At 43.5% G+C, this 9912-nt stretch overlaps 1 long non-coding RNA gene across 1 annotated transcript; it reads right to left on the bottom strand.

The window, feature by feature from the left end:
- Positions 1-335: 335 nt before the first annotated feature.
- LINC02543 (long intergenic non-protein coding RNA 2543) lies at positions 336-5883 on the bottom strand. The gene is made up of 2 exons (NR_183311.1): positions 5676-5883; positions 336-1666 (listed from the first exon to the last, which is right to left on the bottom strand). It is a non-coding gene; the product is annotated as a long intergenic non-protein coding RNA 2543 (long non-coding RNA).
- Between the last annotated feature and the right edge of the window lie 4029 nt (positions 5884-9912).

The raw sequence follows: 9912 nt of genomic DNA, 5'->3' as shown, positions 1-9912 counted from the left end.
ATTTTTGTATTTTTAGTAGAGACGGGACTTCACTATGTTGGCCAGGCTGGTCTCAAACTCCTGAGCTCGTGATCTGCCTGCCTCGGCCTCCCAAAGTGCTGGGATTACAGGAGTGAGCCACCATGCCTGGCCATGTGACTGCAATTCTACTGCTCTTCACCGTGCCCTGCTCAGTCTAGAACACGCTGTACAGACCTGGGCATGGCTGCTCTTTCTGCGGGATGCTGGCAGCCTGTGGCTGGAGCTTGTCAATCATCTGCAAGAACTGAAATCCCTCAGGTATCCTAGATACTTACTGGGCCCGAGTATCAAAAAGACAGGATTTACACACCAGCTTTCCTTCCTCCATTTTTATTCCAACTCCACAGAGGCTTCCCCAGTGACCCTCTTCTTCTTTTCTCTGCTTTGCTTTCTGCCCTAGTTCTTCCAGCTCTTCCCCTTGTTACATTATTCATGGCTTTTATTTCTCACTTAGTAATTTATTTTAATTTTTATTCATGTTTTTATGCTCACTTAACCCAGGTCCTTATCTTGAAAAATGACTACTCTGGAGTGACCAGAGAAGGAAGAAATAGCAAGCTATTAGTCCTTTTTAAAACAAGAGAATTCCAAGATTATTGCATTTAAAAAACTTTTCAACAGCTGCAACTGAGTTTGCCATTAAACAGTGGTTCTTAATCTGGGCTACACATTGGAACCATTTGGGCAGTTTTGGAAAAAAAACCCCGATGCCTGGGTCTCCCCTCCAGAGATTCTGTTTTAATTGGCCCGAGGTAAGTTTTAAAAGCTGCCCAGGTGATTCTAATGTGCAGCCAGGGTGGTGTGTCCTTACCACAGACAACGCTGCAGAAGCGAGGCTGCCTCAGAAGTTCAGACCCCCTCCCACTCCTCTTTCAGCACAATGATCGTCCTTGCAGATTTCCTCTAAGTGAGAGAAGCTGGGCTCATGTCCTTGCCCCACCACTGTGTAACCCTGGGTCGGGGCCTTTATCCTTCTGAGTCTCAGTTTCTTCATCAATAAGAGTAACAAACTCAACCGTGATGAGGCTGCAAGGTGGGCCCACCCACGATGCTGCGGGTTAGAATTCCTGGTCAGCAGTGCATAGGGTCAGGGTGAGCTCAGGAGAAATGGAAGAAAACTGAACCAATTAATGGTGCCTGTAGCCATGCAGAGACCCTGTTTCTATCACCAATATGCCCCTGATGTTGGCACTGAAGAGAAGATACCTTTTAGGACCCCAGACTGACTCTTTCCAGCTTCCAGCTCTCAGAGCCTCTGTGGGCACCAGGTAAGTGTTCAGAAAGCCTTCCTTGACCACCAACATATACATCAGCAAAGCTTTCAACTCCGTCACACAGAGCTTGAGGTGGTCCAGCTGAATTCTTTCCTCTGCTGGTCATGATGTGCACCACAGAATTGGAGGGAAACCAGCATGTGCCAGGGAAGCCAGCTAGGGAGGGGACAGAGGCTCCCCTTCCTTCGCTGCTTAGGGGCCTTCAAGTCAGCGCCCTTCTGCCATGAAGCAGAGGGTCTATGAACATGGACAAGGCACTAATGCAGATTTCCTATAAAGACCTTCATTGGAGAAAATAGAGCCAGATCTTCTAACCAGACCCCAGCGATGTCTCCCCTTGCAGTAAGATGATGCCTTGCTTTACACAGATCCTTTGCCGAGAAGCAGATGTGTTTAATATAAAAGAAAGAAGAGGAGAGAGAAGACATTGTCATGCATGAATTTACCATTCCGTGACACTCAAAATTCAGTGCCTCTCAGGGCATTTGTCCTTGCTTTTCTCCTCCTGGGATATTCATAGTTCATTCCTTCTGTGCTCAAGTATCATCTCCTTACTATCCCCCACCCACCCCCCACCCCCGTCCCTTCTTATCTCCTTCCTCTGCTATTTTTCTCTATCACAATGACCACTACCACTACTTATCATGATATTATTTATTTGTTACTTGCTTACTCGACCCTGAGCTCCATGAGGAATAGATTTTGCTCATCTTGTTTATAGCTCTGCCCCAGTGCCTGGCAAAATAAATATAAGCAAAGAGCATGAATGAATGAATGAGCATGTGCATGAAACCTTGGGAGGCAGAGTGTCTGCTTTCACAGTCCCAGACAACACGGCTTCTGTGCCACTGCCGGTACCCTTGCTCCCCGGCTGAGCTGTATTCTTCTCCATAGGATTTACCACTTTCTGACTGACTTTGTTATTTGTTTACTTCCTATCTTCCCCACTGAAATGTAAACTCCACGAAGGAAGGGACTTTTGTTTTCATCTTTACTAGCCTTTGTTTTATTCCCAAAGTCAGGATGGCACCTGGCAATGTAGTGGGAATTTAATAAATATCTATTGTCAAAGAAATGATTACTTCATTCAGGAGAAGGTGATGCCAATCAATCCCTGGCAAAAGTGGTGTTTTTCAAGTGCCTCCTTTGTCATCAGCCTCTGTTTTTGTTTTGTTTTGTTTTTGTTTGTTTGTTTTTACTGTTTTACTCTTCTTGAGAACACTGCCTCCATCCATAGTTCCCAGTGGCTGTTAGCCCCTCCCTCTCCTCCCAAGTACATGCAGCAGGTCTCCACATCAGTCTTTGACAACACCTCTGCGTTCCCTCTGTACTTTGCTCTCGCTGTTTCATCTTTGAATGCTTTTCTTTCCCCATCCACTAAAAGCCTCCTTATCCCTCCGAGCCAGCTCTTTCCTGGAGCCTTTTCCTGACCCACAGCCAGAAGTGCACTTTTCCTCCTCTGAATCTCTACAGGACTTGGTACCTCTCAAGTGGTTCTTAGGACACATTAGAAGACATGATCAGATCTTTGGAGATTATGTCAGTGACACCGTAACCCAAGACTGTAACCCTAAGACAAGAAGGAGCAGGCTCAGTGGCAGGGAATTAGCTGCCAGCTTACTCTCATGCTCACACAAGAACCTTCAGGCATCACCAACATATTTCTGCCTACATAGCTGAGGCCACTTCAGACTCTGGGCCGCACTGTCTCATCTATCCTGAAGCTTTGGAAAATCCCAATGGCTTGCTGTGTGCAGGGATAGAAGCAGAAGATCCCAGAACTTCCCCAAACTGCAGCTCTCACTTCTCCCTCCAGCCCCTAACCTCTACCCCAGCCTCTCAATCCCTGGCGGAAGGTCTCAGGACCAGAGGACTTTGTTTTTCTCTTTCAGACTGCTCCAATCTTCTCTCCCTCCTCCAGAAGCCCAAATTCTGGCACTCTCTCACAACCTGCAGACAACTCTATGAGCAAACATCCTCCCTCCTCTACTCATCAAATTAGTATTTCATCCCTTCATTTCCTGGTAGCCAACAGCTTACATTGTGAGCTGCAGATTTCTACAGATTCAAAAGCCTAAGGCTTCTGAAGACAGAGTTGCCCACTTAAAACTGACTGTGGAATTAGGGGTCACTAATATGAGTTATTTCAACACTTCCCTGATGCTTTTTCTCCCGTCTCTCCACCCGCAATGTTTGCAGGAAGCGTGATGCAGTCAAGAATGTGGGTGCACATTTCTATCTTCTCAAGAAAAGTGTTATTGGGAGTGGGAACTAGTGACACGTGACAGGATTTTGATAGATGAAGTGTTTTCAGACTTAAAGATTATTCAAGGCAAGCAGATTTCCTTTATGCTTCTTCAGAGGCAAATTTCATGTCTGTATATTGTTATTTCTACTTTTGATGCCCTAGCCCTTTTTAACCCTTTTATGTAGTCTCTTGCCCATTCACAAGTTGCATTCTCAGGGGGCATATTTTTCAGAGAAACAACAGTAATAAGGTTTGTGTGCTGTCCTGTAATATCCCATTTTGCTAATATAGCTAAATTCATATTATTCATTTATTCATGAATTCACTTCTCATTCATTCATTCACTTAATAAATATGCATTGAGCCAGTGCAATGGCTCATGTCTATAATCCCAGTACTTTGGGAGGCTGAGTTGGGAGGATCCCTTGAGGCCTGGAGTTCAAGACTAGCCTGGGCATCACAGCGAGACCCTGTCTCTACAAATAAATAATAATAATAATTATAATAAGCCAGGTGTGGCAGTGCACATCTGTAGTCTCAGCTATTCAGGAGGCTGAGGCAAGAGGATTTGTCGAGCCCAGGAGGTCAAGGCTGCAGTGAGCTATGATCATGCCACTTCACTCCAGCCAGGGCAGCAGAGTGAGACGCTGTCTCTAAATATATATATATATATATATATGTATATATAAAATATAATATGTATGTATATGTGTGTGTGTATATATACACACACACACACATACATACACACACACGTGCATTGAGCAACAACTATATGTCAAGTGGACCCCACTGGTGAACAAGAGGGACACAGGGCCTGCTGTCATGGATCTTACATGGAGGTGAAGGGAGCCAGATAATAATGACCTGCAATAACATACAATTGTAGACTAGAATAGACGCCCTAACTTGAGAAAGTCTACTTTAGATAAGACAGTCAGGGGAAAAAAAATCTTGATTTTTGAGCTAAGAAAAAAAAAGAGCAGAGTTCAAGGAGCCTTCCAGGCAGAATGTACATAGATACAAAGGCCCCAATGCAAAAGATGAGTCATGTGTTGGACGAACAGAAAGAGGCCAGTGTGACAGAAGCTTGGTGAGCTGGCTGCCCTGGGAAGAGGAAGGGGTCTGCAATTGCCTTCTGGTCTCCAGGCCCATGAGAAGCCTTCCCATTTGCAACACAACTCCCTGACTTGCTTGAATGGGTGGTATATTCATTAATTCCAGAATGCCTGTACTTCAGATATTCCAAGCATTGATATGAACCTCTCCTGGAAAAAAAAACAAAACACAAAATTTTGTTCAGGGAGACTAAAAATCTTTGCCTCTTGAAACCTCCTTACAGCCAAAGTCACATTTTTCTCAACATAGGAGACTCGAGTTTCTTGCTGGTACATTATTGGGTTCCACAAAGTACAAAGTAGAATCTGAATTGATAACAAACACAGCTGCTGTCCTTGGATCATGCGGACTCTAAATGTGGTCTTGGAGGAGTAACGAGCATGTTCTCAAAAGTGATCTTGCCCTTCACATAATTACCAGTAGAACAGCAATGCCACATGCTGTATTCAGAGATAACCTTATTTTTCTTTCTTTTATATCTCTTGAATCTTTTATCATACAACAAAAGCAACATAAAATTTGGCTCACCACTACTGTGCTGTGTTTCTGATTAGTAAGAGATAATTCATTGGCATAGTCCTTGGCAAATGCTCAGTTAACATTAGTTGTAGTCATTATCAGACAAAAAAGACAAATCACAACTTAACTCTGAAGATTTTAGGTGCTCAAAGGACAAAGCTCTCTTAAATTTTACCCAAGTGAAATCTCCAATCATTTTTCTTTGAGACGGAAACTACAACCTTCAAATTGTGCGTAAGCACATTTCCTTTTGAAGCTCAAAATAATCCTGTATTTTCAAAACAAAGCAAATAGGCCTCCATCATTAAATGTGGCTTTGTTTACTTGTGTAGTTTCCTTTCATTCTTGTAGGTCAAATGTTATTATCATCATAGTTGACTCAACTTTTGTTTCAAGCTTAATTCGGTTTTAAAAACCTAATCTGTTCCATTCCAGATCTTTCTCAATGAAGTCTCAACCTCATTTACAGTGGAAAGTTTGTAGGTGTAACAAACCTTTTGTTTGGTGGAAGGGAAAACAAAAATACCACGGCCACCTCTGAGGTCTGGCTCAGAGGAAAACTGCTCTGCCCTGCTTCCTCTCTGACCTCTTGTGTGTAACGGGGATGTGGCATGAGTCGGCATTAGCTTGCTCTGTGCTAAGATGCATCAGATATCGTGGGGCCCTTGGGAGCCTTGGACTAGAGGCTGCAGATAGGATAGGAGGATAAGCAATGTAATGAACCCATGAGTCTTCAATCATGCAATAAGCTGTTATATCACAAAGAACTATGACATAGGAGGTCAAACATACCATGAGGTGTTTAGCGAGATTGAGAATCTTGTCATGCTATGTTCATGTCGTGTTTGGAACAGGAGAGAAAGGGCAGGGTAAGTGTCCCCTTATGAAGGTCAGAATTGTGCGGGGCTTTCATCACATCAGATGGTGACTGTTTGTGTACCCAGCCATCTCCCTCCCAAGCCCACTGGAGGAAGAGTCTTATGTTATTCAACCTGTGTCTCCAGAGTTTATTACATTGTCTGTGCTCAAGAAATACGTGTCCAATGAATGAATTTAACTTTTTTTTTTTTTTTTGAGACAGAGTCTCTCTGTCACCCAGGCTGGAGTGCAGTGGGGCGATCTTGGCTAACTGCAGCCTCCGCCTCCTGGGCTCAAGCTCAGGCTCCTGCCTCAGCCTACCTCTTGCCTCAGCATCTCGAGTAGCTGGGATTACAGGCATGCGCCACCACGCCTGGCTAATTTTTGTATTTTTAGTAAAGACAGGGTTTCACCATGTTGGCCAGGCTAGTCTTGAACTCCTGACCTCAGGTGATTTGCCCACCTCCATCTCCCAAAGTGCTGGGATTACAGGCATTAACCACTATGCCCAGCCTGAATGAATTTAACTATTAAAACACTTTCATATATTAGGACCAGCCTGGTTGTCTCACAGAGAACTAAATCAGTAGCTTAATGAGAGTGAACTCTCAAATATAGATGTCTCTGTTTACTGTGACAAGGACAAAAAATGCATTTGCAGCAAAGCCTGCCAAGCAGGGTAGAGGACACGCCATCCATAACCTTCAATGCAACAACTTGCAACTCAGTATAACCACCTAACATCCGGCCTTCTCAGCATTTTTCACACCATGACATACACAGCGCATGAAATCTGTACAGCAAACTGAGATAAACCACTAAGGCTGCTCTCAGCAGGAGGAGACTGCCCTGAGGGTTCCAGGTGCCCCAGGCCCCACCAGCCTCCAGGGAAATTACAGAGTTCCACCTGGACACCCGCCCCAATGCTTCCAGCAAGCCTGGGGCCTGGAATAGCATAGTGGCCAGGATGCTCAGTCGAACTTGTTGCAAAAATGAGCCAACTGTGACTCCTGAACATAAAATCCAAGATCCTGGTACAATCTATTTCTACACTACTGGCACCATCTCAATCTATTTGCCCAGTCACTTAATAAAGATAACCAGTAGGTGGATAAGTGCCTTCAGTTCAGGGCCTAGAAGGGGTGGGCATGGCTGGCTAGCTGGGAAATGCAGGTTGCACAAAAATCAGTAAAGATACTCACACTACTTTATAGCTGTATTAATGCTTTATGGTTTATAAAAAGCTTTTATTGCATTATACATCAATTGATAATAAGATATAATCTGGAACAGGCAGAGCGAAAAATAAAAAATAAAAAGGCTCATATCCATTCCTCTTAAACTGTCAGATGTTCACCAGAATGAATATATTTTTAGTTAACAAATAAAAAATTTTCACAAACTTGGACCCAACTTTCCAATCACTAACAGAGATAAGGGGTATGAAAGGTAGACATATGGCTGCAGGGAGAAGTCACAGCCAGGCAAAGAGAGAAGATGCAGACAAACACGCAGAAATCTGGGACTAAAAAAGAGGCAAGCACCTGTGGTCCCAGCCACTTGAGGGGCTGAGGCAGGAGGATTGCTTGAGCCCAGGAGGTGGAGGCTGTAGTAAGCTATGATCACACCATTGCACTCCAGATTAGACAACTGAGTGAGACCCTGTCTCCAAAAAAAGAGAAAAGAAAAGAAATGGAGACAAACAGCTCTATGCACTTAAGCTGATATTGAGGACATTGTTGTATTAACACAGGACTCTAGAATAATAGAGATTAATATGAATTAATTGAGACCCTGTGGTAGTCTGTTTTGCATTGCTATAAAGGAATACCAGAGACTGGATAATTTATAAAGGAAAGAGGTTTATTCAGCACACAGTTCTGCAGGCTCTACAAACATGGCACCAGTATCTTGCTGCGCTTCTGATGAAGGCTTCGGGAAGGTAGTCCTGGTGGAAGGTGAAGGGGAGCCAGCATGTCACATGGCAAGAGAGGGAGCAAGAGACAGGGGAGGAGGTCCCAGGCTCTTTTAAACAGCCGGCTCTGGCATGAATTAATAGCGTGACAGCTCACTCATTATTGTAAGGACAGCACCAAGCTATTCATGAGAGATCTTCCCCTTTCACTCAGACACCTCTCACTAGGCCCATCTCTCACATTGGAGGTCACATTTCAAGATGAGATTTGGAGGAGCGCACATCCGAACCATATCAGGAAGAGGTTAGATTGTGTTCTTCATACTATGTTTAAGAATGCTTGGAAGCATGGGGTCCATTTTAGAGAGCTTTCCATTCGAAGTCTTTAAAAAAATCACTTCTTAAAGATATAAACCCTGAGCCATACAGAAAAGTCAATGATCAGCTCCTTTCTAAAGAGCTCCAGTAATCAAAATTTTGCAGTATATGGTTTTATTTTTCACTGTATTTGTTTAGTAGAGTTTTATGTTCTGTTGTTTATCTTAATAGCCAATATAGAACATGATTTCTATTTTTCCTCTATTTTTGTATAAATGCTCTACATTTAATTGCTATTTATTTAAATAAACCTTGATTGACTATGAATGGCCCTTAACTAGACATTTTTAAAGTCTCCTCGCCCCTGTTCAGATAAGGAAACCACAGTATCCTACCTATTTTTAGCATCCACTGGGAACTTAGCAACAGTTCTCAGGTCTTTGTCTAACATAATTAAATACTTACCATAGAAAGAGTGGGCTCATGTATGTCAGGTAGATTTCCTATTGTTTGGACACACTTATCCAACTGACAAAATCACTTTTCCCTTTGAGAAAATCAAGTTTTCCCAGTATTCCTACTAAATAGATGTTCAGATCTGTTAAAAATAAAGAGTGAAGTATGAGTACACGGTTTTGTAGATGGCCTCAAAATGTGGCACTGGTTACAGAAGACGTTCAGCAAATTCTATTCAAACATTCCAATACAAGCTGGGTGTGAAGAAATGCTCAGACATTCTTCACTCCAGAAAAGGTATCAAGAAAGGGAAGAACCTGGATGCAGCAGCTCACTCCTATAATCCCAGCACTTTGGGAGGCTGAGGAGGGAGGATCGCTTGAGCCTAGGAGTTCAAGACCAGCCTGGGCAACATAGTAAGATGCTGTCTCTACGAAAAATAAAAAAGAAGATGTAGACAAACACACAGAAATCTGGAAATCATAAGGAGGTGACTACTTGTCATTCTAGCTACTCAGGAGGCTGAGGCAGGAGGATCACTTGAGGCCAAGAGTTCAAGGCTACAGTGAGCTATGATCATGCCACTGCACTCCAGCCTAGGTGACAGAGTGAGACCCTGTTTCAAAAAAAAAGAAAGGGAAGAAACACTAATGAGCACCCACTATGTGCCAGGCAAAGAGATTGATATTGACTCCTAAACATTTCTGTGTGGAAAGTGAATATCCAAGTTATATGCATGAGAAAGTCGAAGTTAAGAGAGGTGATATAATGAGCCCAAACTTGACAGCCAGAAGGGAATCATTCCCAATGAAGTGACCAGAGACAGGAACCTAACAGACCCAGGGGAGACCATCTGGTCATGTCCACTGAAGGCATTCACAGATAGCTTCTTTTTCATGGCTAAAGAATGAAATTCAATGAAGGGAGGAGGTGATAAAACACACATGCAAGAGCACCACTGCTAAGACTCTCCATCCAGTACTTTGCGCGTAATTATCCTAGAGCAATGGCACCCAGCTTCCCCAGAGAATGTCATGAAGGGCGAGGCAGAATAAAATTGTGGGAGCTTCTGGGAGCTGCTGAGCAGAGAAGAAGCAGAGCAGAACCTGTCTTGGAGAACAACCCCTGAGATTTTAGGGTTTGCTGGAAGATAGTGAAGGTCTAGCAGTGAAGGACCTCTCCTC

This window comes from Homo sapiens, chromosome 6, assembly GCF_000001405.40.
Source record: "Homo sapiens chromosome 6, GRCh38.p14 Primary Assembly".
In the NCBI taxonomy this organism is placed as follows: Eukaryota; Metazoa; Chordata; class Mammalia; order Primates; family Hominidae; genus Homo; species Homo sapiens.
Note: the sequence above shows the minus strand (reverse complement) of the source record. Positions and strands in the feature narration are given on the sequence as shown.